The sequence below is a fragment of the Homo sapiens genome, chromosome 10 (assembly GCF_000001405.40).
Source record: "Homo sapiens chromosome 10, GRCh38.p14 Primary Assembly".
In the NCBI taxonomy this organism is placed as follows: domain Eukaryota; kingdom Metazoa; phylum Chordata; class Mammalia; order Primates; family Hominidae; genus Homo; species Homo sapiens.
Window position 1 is genome coordinate 23,247,094 of NC_000010.11, and position 14,936 is coordinate 23,262,029.

The following is a 14,936-nucleotide window of genomic DNA, read 5'->3' on the forward strand; positions in this document are numbered from 1 at the left end:
AGTAAACTAAGGCTAATTTGTTATTGAAAAAAATATTTTTTTTTTGGTAAATCTAGTGTAGCCTGAGTGTCTAGTGTTTACAAAATCTACAGTAGTGTATGGTGATGTCCTAGGCCTTCACAGTCACTCACCACTGGCTCACCTAGAGCAACTTCCACTCCTCCATGCTCCATTCATGGTAAGTGCCTTATACAGGTGGACCATTCTTTATCTTTTATACCGCATTTTCACTGTATCTTTTCTATGTTTAGGTATATTTAGATGCATAAACACTTACCATTGTGTTATAATTGCTTACAGTATTCAGTTATAGTCTCATGCTGTGCAGGTTTGTAGCCTAGGAGCAATAGGCTATACCATATAGCCTAGGTGTGTGGTAGGCTATGCCATCTAGGTTTGTAAGCACACTCTAAGATGCTCACACAATGATGAAATCGCCTAATGACACATTTCTCAGAATCTATCCCTGTCATCAAGTGACACATGACTGTCATTTATATATATAATATGAGGATATTATGAATAACTTTATATCAATAAATTAGACAATTCAATGAAATGAGAAAATTCCCAAACATAAAAGACAACACAAATTATCAAACTGATTGGAAGAAATTGAAAATTGGAATAGCCCAATTTTTATGACAAATTGAATGTTATTGAAAACTTTCCCCAAGGGAATGATAAGCATTCAATTCAGAATATTTGCCAATTGGGAAGAGAGGTGACAGGCACTGGATGGGCAACAGGGACCGTGAAGCCACTTCTAATTCCTTCTTTCTTTACCTGTGTGGTGAGGACACAGGTGTTTACTTTGTTGAAGTAAGGAGCAGTGTAGAGTTTCTGTTTACAGAGGGTTCCAAGGTGAGGGGACTATATGAGCAGAGTGGGCCTTCACCTTGCATGCCCTATCTAGATTTCTGATGTTTGCAGTCTCTCTGGGATGGCAATCTAGTGCTGAGTGAGGGCAGGAGAAGGGATGTGTGCATGGACCTCTTCCATATATGCAAGCCAGAGTGGCACGGGAACCACCTGTAACATTTCTTATGCGCTTGATAAACATGGTGGGCAAAAGTGAGTCCATCTGGCCCAGAGCCCATCAGGCAGAACAGAGGGTGGCTCAGGTGGATGCATGTGGATTGCCGCCTGGGGTGGAGGTGGAAACAGCGGCATCACCGCGGCATCAGCCTGGTAGGGATATGTTCCAAAGCTGATATGCCACACCAGCATACTGTTTGTGCGACAATGATGACATAGGCAGTCGCATCAGGCTTGGCACACCAAGAGGAAGGACTAGCCCTGCTCTTGTCCGCACTGCTCACATTCAATCTTCCTGGAAATAAGAACTCGGCAGAGATGGAAAAGGAGCTTGGAAATGAAGCCCTGAATTGGACTGGGACCCAACATAAATCATGAATTGACTGAGAAATCATTGGATTGGACTCTGATCTTGACTGGCTAAGGTGAGGTTTTTCATCTACTAAACAAAAATGAGTGCATCTAATCTAGGATCAGTTACAGTAAAATGAAATTACCATGTTAGCCCATGTAAGTCTGTGACTACACAATTAATCTCCATATCACACCACGATGAAGTACTCTGTACAAATGCACTCGCTACGGTGCTGTATATGCCACATTGAATTAATATCTGGAGCTTCAGCCTAAGTAGAGAGACATAATCTACAATGTCCCAATTAGTTGGTTAAATGAGAAAACATAGAAAGTGTGTAGTAATAAATACTTCTGCTTTCCTAAATATTTAGATATCAACATAAAGTCTGCAGAGACCAAAACGATTAATATGATTGTCAACATCTTGGTTAATAGAAAATCAATTAGAAGTAAAACTTTAAACTCCATCTCTACTAAAAATACAAAAAAAAATTAGGTAGGTGTGGTGGTGGGCGCCTGTAATCCCAGCTACTAAGGAGGCTGTGGCTGGAGAATCGCTTGAACCCAGAAGATGGAGGTTGCAGTGAGCCGAGATTGCACCACTGCACTCCAGCCTGGGCAACAAGAGCAAAAACTCCCTCTCAAAAAAAAAAAAAAAAAAAAAAAAAAAAAGAAAACTGATACGTTCTTGTAAATCATCACTGAAGAATAGGGTAAATCCCGTAGGGTCAGAGACAAGGTAAATCTTAAGGATGAAAGTGAACCCTACAGAAATAAATAAGAGAAAGTCATTTTATTCAGCTCTAGAGATAATCCAAAACCTATTTGCAGGGAAAGGAAATCAAGTGTATATTTAAATTTTCTTTTGTCTCACATGTATCTACGTTCTGTTCTTAAATAACTATGTGAGACAGGGCAGGTGTTAATATGCACATTTTACACAGCACAAAATGCTTATCAGCACATACACGAAACACGGGTAGGAGATCATTTCAGCACCAAACAGAACAAGGCAGAATGTTTTACTACAAGGTGTTTTTGCCCTGAATCCTCTGTTTTTTCTGTCTTGGCATGGATTCTTTGTGCCACCGCACTTAGGATGAATTATTTCCATAGAATATACATAGCCAGGTATAGAATTTTATACAGACAAGATCCATAGTGTGTGTTTAAGAAATACAGTGCAAATGTAGGGCATTGCCATCCCAGGATCTTTTGTGTAAGCTTCAAGTTTGACCTCCGATGGCCTCCATCAGACCAACATTAAACCCATCGTGCCTGGATGATGCTTGACTGTGAAAGAATATTGCAAAAGAACTTCCCATACATGTTCCCCCAGGGAATCTGGGGGAAATTATGGCAGAACACAACTAAACAGAAGACAGATTTTTAATGTTAACATGTTAGGGTAAGGGAAAAAATAAGCATTTTTCCAATTTGCATCGTTTTTGTCCTTTTCAGAATTTTACAGTTTCTCCATTTTGAAAAAGGCAAAGAGGACACTGGGAAGAGAAACAAAATGCTTATGTGAGTGAAAAATAGATTTGAGAGGTTGAGGAACTGGAGCTGTTGTGTCTGGTAGAGGATCTGATACATAAAGCAACTTTATAAAGACAATACAAACTAGTTATATATCATTGTGTGCAAATGAGCAGGAAAAGGTTTTAATAGCCCTATGAAAGAAGATGACTAAATAGGTCTGATTAAACCAGGTATTAAGCGAGTGAGTCTGTCCTGCTGATCTTTTATAACAGAAACACAGATAGGGAATGAAAACATCTTGAATGATTTTACTTCTCAGTGATTTTGATTACTCTTCTATTTTAGACCAATTATTTTGCATTTCTTGTAGAAGTATATGAGGTGATTTAACATTAGTATGTAAAAAAATTGCAACATTCCTAACTTCCTTAAAGGATGATTAGTCATGTTTTTAGAAATAGAATTTGTATATTTCACACCATACCTGTTCCTGAGAATAAAGAATCTCTTTTCCCAGCTTTTATTTAGTCGATCAGCTTCCTTCCTAAACCTATAAAAAATTTACAGATGGTTAAATATTGTATTAGTTACAAATGAACATTATATCTCATTACCAGTGCCTTTTACTCTATTACCAGTACCTTTCCACCTTCTTTTTCTCATTCTCTAAATTTGCCTTTAATGCTTCTATTTGAGACTCCAAACCATGTTTGTCTTCAACCTTTCAATAGAAAATATAACACAAAGTTAATTACACAAACAATATATCTTGTTTCTCCATAAATCTGAAAAGACTATTTCTATAAATAGTATGCATACTCTAACTACTATCAAACATAATTTGAGGCGGGGCACGGTGACTCACGCCTGTAATCCCAACATTTTGGGAAGCCAAAGTGGGAGGATGGCTTAAGCCTAGGAGTTTGAGACCGGTCTGGGCAATATAGTGGGACCTTGTCTCTACAAAAAATTAAACATTAGCAAGGCATAGTGGCATGCACCTGTAGTCCCAGCTACTTGGGAGGCTGAGAAGGGAGAATTACATAAGCCCAGGAGGTCGAAGCTGCAGTGAGCTGTGATCATGTCACTGCACTCCAGCCTGGATGACAGAACGAGACCCTGTCTCAAAAAAATTTTTTTTTCGAGAGAACAATGAGTTATATTTACTTGTAAATTACCATACATAGGAACGGTTTAAGATCCCATGCCTCTATTTCCCGTAAATGGTGAACTTAGAAGCAGTTAGCTCTAAACCATATTACAAAGCAACCAAAATTGATCTTCATCAGCCCCTTAAGCTGCCCCTTTTTGTAAATTGTAAATCGTGTTTTGTAAATTGTAAATTGTGTTTTCCTTCACTTACTGTGGTCTCTCCATCTCTTCGTCATAGGCAGCAGCTTCCCCCAGTTACTCATTTCCTCCTTCTATCAAAACAGTTCTCAAGAAAGGATCTACCAACTGAATCACAGTAGAGCTTTATGCCATTTATCAATAATGTTTATATTTTGCAAGAGGACAAAGTTTCAGCAAAATGAATGAATCTCTAATAGCTGAATTGTAGGCATATCATGAATGAGAGAGACTTCCGTGGATGTGGCAGAGATGTGCTACAGAATAATACTAAAGAGGCAATCAGGTCTTCTGTCTCTTCATAAGGCTAATTCTCAGTGTAGCTTCCAGAGTCATTGCTACTTTCTAAGCATAGCCAGCATCAATATAAACAATAACTAGGTTCGTAATAATGGTCATATTAGTCATTATTATATCTTAGATCCTGATATTTTCATCTTTTTTTCTTTTCATGTGTCCCAATAGGTGCTGCATAGCTTATCTGGCAAGAAAATAAACCAAGGTAAATACAAATTTTCAAATTAATGCATAACAATGTGGATTTTCTGCAGCTTTGAGAAAGAGAACTGAGACTTACAATATGCTAACCACAGTCCTCTGGCCGTCTTCACTGTCTTATATAATTTAGATAATTCAGTATTTATACATATAATTTGCAATTGGACAATGGCAGCCCATTGAAAACAATTTTCCTATTAATAATACCAGTTTTTAAAAAATGCATTTTATTATAGTGTTGCTTCCATTATATCTGTTTTGCTTTCAAAAAAATCCTATTAGAAAGGTGCTAGATCTCTTGGATCTGTTCTCCATATTTTAACTTTTTTCATTATTTCTGTCTGCCATTTTGCACTATGTTCTAGGAAATTTTCTTCACTTTATCTTCCAGATTATTAAGTCTTAAGCTCTGTCAATTTTATTATTCAGCCTGCCTATTGCCTTTTTTTCAAAGTTTTATTTGTTCCTTTTAATAAATTGTTCTTTGGTTCAGACTGTTCGTTTTTCATAGCTGCCTGTCCTTGTTAATGGAAAAAAGTTTCTGTTGAATGTCTCCCAAAATATTTTTTACTGAAATAATATATTTTAAATTTTTGTCTGTTCCCTGAATTAACTGTTTCAGGCAGGGCCAAGTGCTTTTCTTGTTCTCTTTGTTCACTCCGTAAATATTTGCTGAATGCTTATGATATGCCAACAATTGTTTAAGCACTGGAGATACAATAGAAAACAAAATTGAGCTAAAGTAGAGAAGGCAGACTTGAGAGAAATTACAAAAGAGGTGAAATTTAGGTGACTTTTTGAGTGAGGACAGAGCTGCCTGAAATTTCTCATTTGGGCAAGTAGATGGAGAATGATTCTATTCACTAAGAACAAACAATAAGAATAGGAACAATTTTGTGTGCTAGCCTTTTTTTGTTTTGTTTTGTTTTGTTTGTTTTTGATGAATTCAGATTTACCAAAACACTTTGAGTCTCAGGTACCCATGGCCTGTTTAAATGAACACATGTAATAGGCAACTGATATGGTTTGGCTCTGTGTCCCCACCCAAATCTCATCTTGTAGCTCCCATAATTCCCACGTGTTGTGGGAGAGACCTGGTGGGAGATGATTGAATCACGGTGGCGGGTCTTTCCCATGTTGTTCTCAAGATAGCGAATGGGTCTCACAAGATCTGATGGTTTTAAAAATGGGAGTTTCTCTGCACAAGCTCTCTCTTTGCTTGCTGCCATCCATGTAAGATGTGACTTGCTCCTCCTTGCCTTCTGCCATGATTGTGAGGCCTCCCCAGCCATGTGGAACTGAAAGTCCATTAAACCCCTTCTTCCCAGTCTCAGGTATGTCTTTATCAGTGATGTGAAAAGAGACTAATATAGCAACTGAGACAGGGCCTGGAATTTGAGAGAGGGGTTGATCCTAGAGAGATAATTTGGGATTCATCAGTACGTGGGTTGAAGCTGAAGATTTGGATAAGGCCATTCATCAAAAAAGTGGGGGTCACCAAAGTGACATGAGATGGACACTTTTTGGAGTCCCTCCACCTATTTGTTCTCAAAGGGCACAATCCACGTGAACCACCTCTTTGTCCAGGGTACAAGGGGTAGAGAGTGAGTTCACTGCCATTTGATTAACAGTAGTCCAAGGAAATCACCAGGGGAAGAGCCCCAGGCCCAGGGTCAGGGAGAACACTTGCCATTATGCTAAAAAAAATTAACCCAAATTAAAAAAATTAATCCCCAGAAAATTAGGAAAACAAATCAGTAGAACAAAATAATTTTCCACGTAGAAAGACATTAATATACTTATTTCACTATATCCAAAGTTACATCAGTGATTGAATGCTTATTTAAAAAAAAACTGTGTTTAAATTTATGTACAGTAAAAATTAGTTTCAATTTTTAAGGCTCCCTTTTTCCAGCTTTCATATAATGATCAACTATGTAATAACTAGAGATAAGTCTGTTCTAAAATCTATCTTCTGTAAAGCAAATAATTATTCAATCTCTTCAAAAGACAACACTATTATGATGATGAAGATAACGTCTCTTTTCATTAAAAAAAGAGAAAAAAAAGCATCACATGTAGACTAGAGTGTTTGCTCTCCAGTTCGAGTTGAACTTTCAACTTTGCTGCAACATGGTCTATTGAATCCTGGCTCTGTCCACATTAAACTGTCATTTTGTTTTGCCAGCTGCTGACATTCCACTTTCTCTGGAATACACACACTGGTCTTTATGTGGTCACTTCATTGACAGGTGCAAACACTGGACTGATAATAGATTGATGTGAAAATGAGTGTTAATATTAAAATAAAAGTAATTAACTTCCTAAGTAGGAAAACACAAACACAAATTAAATAATTGTAAAGATAATAACATACTGTAATTTAACAAAATGTGTGTTTTTTTTGAGACAGAGTTTCACTCTTGTTGCCCAGGCTGGAGTGCAATGGCACAATATCAGCTCACTGCAACCTCCGCCTCCCAGGTTCAAGCAATTCTCCTGCCTCAACTTCCCGAGTAGCTGGGATTACAGGTGCCTGCCACCACCCCTGGCTAATTTTTTTGTACTTTTAGTAGAGACGGGGTTTCACCACGTTGGCCACGCTGGTCTTGAACTCCTGATCTCAGGTGATCCACCCACCTTGGCCTCCTAAAGTGCTGGGATTAGAGGCATGAGCCACCACTACTGGCTGTGATTTAAAATAATTTATTATAAATATTTCTCATTCTCTTTTGAATTTGTATATACATTTATAATTAAAAATTCACAAAATTAAGAAATAAAGGTTCATTTATAACGGAAGTTATGATTCTTAAATTTGCTTCCCATTTTTAAGCACTTATATCATATTTTTAAAAATTTAACAAATATACTATTCTAAATTAGAATAGTAGCCAGGGTTTGTAATAACAGAAGAAGCAAATTATGTTTATTAACTGCCGTAAGATTAACTACATTCCTTATCATACCCTCACATCTCTGTTTTCTTTTTCTTATCAAGAGTCAGTACATTTAATTTCCACAAACATCTCTCTTATGAAACTTTAGTCATTTTCTCTGGGCTTAATGAAAGGTACTTTGCCTTTTACCTCTATACCCTTTAAATCGTCGAATATATTTATATTACCATTAAAGTAGTCTTTCTGACTCATCATGATGAAGAATGATTTTTCCTCTTTAAAACCTCAATCACTTTGACTTTCATATTAACATTTTTTAACCTGCCATGCAAATAACTACTTTTGAACACCAGTAATGTGCCAGTGGGTGGGAAGTGGCCAGGGAGAGGAGGGGCTAATAGAAACACACGAAACAAGGACCAACCTCATGCACCTACAATTTGGAGAGAAGAGGCTGAGAATTGGGAACACGGAGAATAAAATATGAGGCTGTGTGCTGAAACAGTAGTCATGACGGGGGCCAAAAATCAAAACAAAACATTTATCTACATATATCACTTGTGAATTTTCTTCTAACAAAATTGTTAAGGTAGGCAAATCTTTCAAAAACAGGACAAGACTTTCTTCATTTGATGTCCCCAAAGGTGCCATTCCATGTTTGCCAAAGGGCTCGGAGGCATCTTGGTAGAATGACTGGGCTGTGAAGCCATACAGGATTTAGGCTGATCCAGGCTATATGCAACTCTCAAGCATGTCTCAAAGGTTCAGAAGGCCACAAAAGTCTGTCTGGGTGTGGCTTCCTCACCTGGCTCTAGAACATCCTAGACCTTGTGTTCATGTGTTCATGTGTTCATGTAGGAAGTCATCTATGCAAAAGCAGAATACACATCTATTAAACTATTCACTCCAAAAACTTGTGACAAGGTCACTTCAGTGATAGGAATGTATCTATTAAATATGATGAAGCCATTGTTTATAACCGAAAAAAAAAAGAAATAATATCTCAGGAAGGCACTGGTAAATTGACACGAATTGGTTATGTAAATTGTGCTACTTCTGTGGGGCGAAATACATACAGCACATATAATGGATTATCTAAATTCAACGGTATGGAATGATGTTATCCACATCCTGTTGACATAAAAATCTGCATCAAGACTTGTCTGGAAGGGTGGTAATGAGAGGTTTTCAGTGATCATCTTTGGGTGGCAGGATTTTCTTAAAAATTTTCTTCTTTTGGCATTTCCTCATTGAGCAAATTTTGTATAATAAGTATGTTATCAGTTTTGTGAGTTTTTTTCTTCAAGACAGTTTGCTCCATGGCTCAGGCTGGAGTGCAGTGGCATGATCTTGGCTCACTGCAGCCTCCACCTTCCCAGCTCAAGTGATCCTCCCACCTCCACCTCCCAAGTAACTGGAACTACAGCTGTGCACCACCATGCCTGGCTAATTTTCGTATTTTTTTTAGAGAAGAAGTCTTGCTATGTTCCCCAGGCTGGTCTTGAACTCCTGGGCTCAAGCAATCCTCCTGCTTGGGCCTTCCAAAGTGCTGGAATATTACAGGCATGAGCTTCTATGTCTGGCCCTGTATCCATTTTATTTAAAAAATTGAGACTCCTGGCTCCCGCTTAGGAAGCAAAAAATGCCATTCCAACACTAAAAACAAGAAAAATCTAGATAAACTACAAAATCACAACTTCTCTTGAACCCATTAGAGAGCTGGGGTTACACCCAGGTAACCTAAATTCCAAAGAGGAACAATGCCCTCAGAGGAGAGATGAGAGCCATGAACAGTTCATAGGTCTCGTCTACAGCTGAAGAAGCACCATGCCAGCTTCAACACAAGCTTGTAAGAAGAATAAGCTAAAATATAAAGAACTTCTGAAGATCAAATGTTGGTGAGCGGGGCAGTCTGAAGTAGCTGGGGACACATGTTAAAAGTGGAGCTTGCACTCACTCACAAGTTTTTTTTTTTTTCCTGTCCCTTACCAGATACTCATGAGAAAAATTGAGGGCAGAGCAATTTTGAAAGGAGTCTCTGTTGATGGTGCAGACTTGAGGAGGGGATCAGCAGCTACTACAGGAAAATCACCTTCCTTGGGTCATTCTATCCTAGCATGTGAAAGTCTTAAGCCTCTGGGAGAGGGGAAGCAAACTGTCTGGCCAACCAGGCTCAAAGAAGGTGATCAGTGGTTGATGCTGTGAAGAAGTGTTAGGTATCAAATCCCATTTATTTCTCCCAGGCCACTCCTTTCTCAGAAGGAAAAGTTTTCAACTGCTGGGATGGGCAGCAGAGTCTCTTGCTCACAGCTCAAAAATGGAGATATATTATGTCAATGGGAAAAACAAAAGAAACAGGTTGCTCCCCTGGGAGAAGGGAATGGTAATTGTCTTGGACCTTCAACTCTATGCCAATACCAAGTGGAGGTGTCCTACTATTGCAGGAAGGACAGGAAACTCCTGCCCAAGACCAACTTCAGATACAAGGCGAGTGAACTGCCCCAGGGAAGAGGGGCAAGAATGCTGAGAAAGTCCACCGCTGGGGCCTGAGCACACAACACTTCTGAAAGTCTGAGTTTGGATTAGAACCACAGAGAATCTTCTCTACCTTCACTCATGGAGCACCAAGCAATAGCAGTGCACTACTGAGGCATGGATAAGAGCATAGAGGCAGATCTTCTCTATGGCACAGGTGGACAGGTTCTATAAGCTGAGGGTAGAGTGGTAGTCAGAGAAAAGCACTCTGTGACCCCAGCTCCCACTCTAGTCACATACCCACCACAAAAAGAATATCAAAACTGTTGCCTGGTGCAGTGGCTTACACCTGTAATCCCAGCACTTTGGGGGGCCAAGGCAGGAGAATCCCTTGAGCTCGGGAGTTCGAGAACAGCCTGGGCAATATGGCAAAATTCTATCTCTATAAAAAATACAAAAGTTAGCTGGGCATAGTGGCATGTGCCTGTAGTCTCAGCTGCTTGGGAGGCTGAGGTGGGAGGATGGCCTGAACCCAGGAGACAGACGTTTCAGTGAGCTGAGATCACAGCACTGCACTCCAACCTGGGTGACAGAGTCAGACTCTGTTTTTTTTTTTTTAAATAAAAGACTGTGGTCTAGTAGAGGTAACCATAGCAACAAGCAAACTCAACTCAACTTTGGTTAGATTGGCCCAACCTGTCACAGTAGTCATACACATCCCCCCCACACATATATGTATACACACATATGTGTATGGGTGTGTGTATGTATAGTCTCATAAGAGACAGGTTATTTCAATGTGTGAATACAATTTATTTCAATCTCTACTATTCTACACATGATGTGCAGCATTCAATCAGAAATATGAGGCAGCTCGCTGGAACAGGCTGGATGGTGCCAGCCACGTTAGGTGGTTTTACCATGTGGCCTCTGGCATCCCCATTGCCAACCATGGGCGAGCTCTTGGTGCACTGGTGGCCTGGCATGGTGCTCCAACTATAGCTGTGTCAGCGTGTGATGATGCCATCCCACACCAATCTGGCTACTGGAATCCCTAGTAGCAAAGCAAAATACTCAAGGCTCTCCAGCACAGACAGTGGCTACACTCACCTCCTAAGGTTTAAAAAAGGCCTTCCTAAGATGCCTTAGAAGGCCATTGCAGTCACCACTGTGCTGTTTCTGATTGGCACCTTTCTATTATCATAGGCTCCCTCCTGCTGTTGGGCTACATCAGCAAAGTGGGGACAGACTAGGTTGTTCCAGTTCTGATCACTGGCAATTTGGTGTTCCTGCCGAATGCATCCAAAAGCTACCAGGGTTACTCCTACCATGGCCTTCCAGACTTTGACGACTAGCACCACCTCAGCCCTGAGAAGAGTCACAGTGGAACTGTACCTGGCTTTAAGATTCTGAGCAGAAACTATGTCTAAGGGCTGAAGAATTCTGCAGTTTGCAGATGTTTAATAAAACATTGGCCAGATTTTATGGGTCTATTCCAAAGATGTTAACTGAGCTTACAATGAGATCATTCGGACATGGTCTATTTTTCATCTCCTGGCCCTGACAAAAAGCTGCTGACAAGGTTTTCCCCCAGGAATATGGAACATGGAGGAATAGCAATGTTCATTGTCTGGAAAAATGGGAACTTATTCTGTAATGGAATGTGTTGCCTTCACCATCCTATTTAGAGTTCAACACTTCTGTTAAATAGTCTTCATTGTCAATTTCTTCTTGTAGCAAATGAAAGAATACAGTATGTCTTTTTAAAATTACTAGGTAACTTATTTTTAAAATATCTAAGTATCTTATCTCCTACACTTATTTCTACCTTCATGTTCTAGTGGAAAACGATGGTAAAATCAAATGTCAGTGAGAGTCCATCTGTAATATTTTTTACTTGCTTTTTTATCAACAGCATCCAGGAATTTTTCAAACTACAGAGCAAGTTTTCAAAATGTAAACACTTTCTCTGTTTACCAATCTTTAGTGAGCTCTAATTTGGTTCACCAATAGACTGGGCAGCATACAATTTGGGTCATTCTGTCCTTCGTATATCAAGCTATTCTGTATATCATGCCTTTAAGGATCAGACTTTTGGCTGTTTCCTAATGAAAAATGCAGAGAAGTGGTTCTTATTTAGAGTTGATAACCCTAGTGCTAGTACCTAGTATTATGATGGCATTCTGCTAAAGATTGCAAGACTCAGCCTGGATCCCTAGAAGACTAGATTGAGTTAGGTTGATTCTATTTCCTAGCTTGCAAAAAGTGACTTATATTCAAAGTAAATTAAAATGTCAAAACAAAACCAAACAAAAGACAGACAAAAAGTCCAGGAAAAAAAATCTATCGTTGGGAGACAAAGCAATAAACAGAACCAGACTCAAAGATGACCCATATTTTGGAACTATGACTTTGAAAGACTTTGAAAGAACTATAATCAAAATATTAGAGAACCTAGGAGAAAAGGTGAACACTATGCATGATAAACAATAGACAGGGAATTTCATCAGAGAGGTGGAAAATGTAAAAAAGAATCAAATGGAAATACTAGAAATAAACCAAGCAACAATCAAGATGAATAATTTGTTGGATGGGCTCATCAATAGACTCAATATAACTGAAAAAAGTAATCAGTGAATTTGAAGTTAGGTTAAAAAAAAGACAACTCTCCAAACTGAAACAAAGAAAAAAAGTAGTTCAAACTTTAATGAGCTGAGCATGTAAGAGTTGTGGAACAACATCAAACAGTCCAGCACAGACATATTCGAAGGTAAAGACATAATTGTAGATAATGTTTAGGAGTTAATAAAAGATATCAAACTACAAATTCAAGAAGTTCAAGATAAATAGAAATAAAGAGGTGAAGGAGAGGGGACAAGAAACAACCAAAGATACTTTATTATCCAGCTGTTGAAAAGCAAAGAGAAAGAGAAACTCTTGAAGTCAATCCAAAATAAAAGACATTACAAACAGAGAAACGAAGTTAAAATTTACAGCATACTTCTTATCAGGAACTATGCAAGCCGAAAGAGGGTGTAGTCATATCTTCAAAGTATTAAAAGAATAAAACTGTCAATGCAGACTCAGAATATATTTCGGAAAAATACCTATCAAAAATAAAGGCAAAAAAAAGGGTTTTTTCCAGACACAAACAAAAACTAAGAGAATTCATTGCCGGCAGACCAAAAGGAAGAGGGTATATGACACCAGATAGAAACCTAGATCTACACAAAGAAATGAAAGCTCTAGAAATGGCATAAATAAAAGTGTCAAATGCAAATCTTACTGTGACAAGTATATCAATTTCTGTTACATGAAAATATATTAAACTTTAATTTTTGAAGCATATAACATGTTAGGAACTCTAAAGAACTGTCCCTTTAATGGGAATATTGGAGAAGATTATCCAAAGGCATTTAGAGCAAGATTCATGGACAGATATGAGTTTTAAGTGGCTTTCCTGGGAGCTCATAAGAAACACTCTCTTTACTGCTGAAGACTAAGCTATTTGGTGGGAGATTTCCCACCAGAGGTTCCTATGGATTGCAGTGGCTTCTTATTGACCTCTTATCAATCAGCTGTTTGGATGCTTCAGTCTGAAATCTTTTTTATATTACTTTCCTAATGTTTGCTCTCCTAACTTTTCCAGTGGTTGCATAAAAATCTAAACCTTCATATTGAAATCTTTCCAATTTTAATACAAAAAGACCTTTCAAATATTCTTATGCTTTATTTAATGTAAACCAGACAGAAATCTTATAAATTGTAATTGAATTCGACTTGCAAATTGTCAACTAGGGAGACAGACCACCAGAATCACACTCGAGGTTGTTTAGGCCTGTGACCATCATTTCTGGGGGAATGAATTCAAATAAATGTTCACTGTATACTTTCAGCCATTGGATTAACTGGACTCTACAGTGCTTCATGGTATTAGGTGTAGATAACTTCTTTTTCTTTTACAGATTTGGAAGAGAAAATGCCATGAAAATTTGGGGAGTCTAGTTAATACAAGGGCTGAGATACAGTATCTCAATACCTGCATACACACACACACACGCAACAAAGAAATGATTCCCACACTAAAATTGCTGGAGGAGATCCTCAAACTGTTTTTAAGACACATTTCTTTGTTTTGAAACAGGATCTAGCTTTATTGTCCTGGCTGGAATGCAGTGGTGGGATCATAGCTCACTGCAGCCTTGACTCCTGGGCTCAAACAATCCTCTCACCTCAGCCTCCTGAGTAGCTAGGACCACAGACACGCACTAACACACTTGGCTAACTTAAAAAATATCTGTAGAGGTGGGGTCTCACTATGTTGCCCAGGCTGGTCTCAAACTCCTAGCCTCAAGTGATCCTCCTGCCTCCGCCTCTCAAAGTGTTGGAATTACAGGTGTGAGCAGCCACCCCTGGACTGTTTTAAAGATTTTTTTAAAGCCTAAAATAAAAGTGTACCTTTATTCCCTAATTGAGCTGCATAAGCTAACACAACTTAAGAACTCTGGATTTGGTGAGCAATATATCAACCTGGTGAGATGTCACTGGTTATCTAAGATTGTTCAGATATGCAAATGGGAAGAAAATAGTAATAGATGAATCAATAAGAGGAAACAAAGAATTTTAATAGGATCAATTTTCATGATGAACAAGCAGAGATTCCACTGAGGAAAAGAAAGTTAAGAGAGTGTTAAATGAAAAAAGGTTTAATAACCATCCTTCATGAAAATAAGTTCCTAAAGAAAACAAAATTGATGTGTTATAACTCACATAGACTTATTCCCAGGGTTTGAGGAGAAAGTTGGGATCTGGAGAGACTAGGATTGGAGAAACTGA

General features: G+C 38.6%; 1 protein-coding gene across 8 annotated transcripts in view; it reads right to left on the reverse strand.

Annotated features, from left to right (window-relative positions):
• The window catches only part of C10orf67 (chromosome 10 open reading frame 67), a 142,882-nt gene that overhangs the window by 45,178 nt on the left and 82,768 nt on the right, over positions 1 to 14,936 (reverse strand). For 6 of the 8 annotated variants that reach the window (XM_017016031.2, NM_001365862.2, XM_047424968.1 and 3 more), the window contains 2 exons: positions 3,519 to 3,598; positions 3,362 to 3,427 (listed from right to left, as the gene is read on the reverse strand). In XM_017016031.2, the coding sequence (XP_016871520.1) occupies positions 3,362 to 3,427; positions 3,519 to 3,598 (146 nt within the window). The other 2 variants (XM_011519440.2, XM_011519441.2) reach the window with 2 other exon arrangements.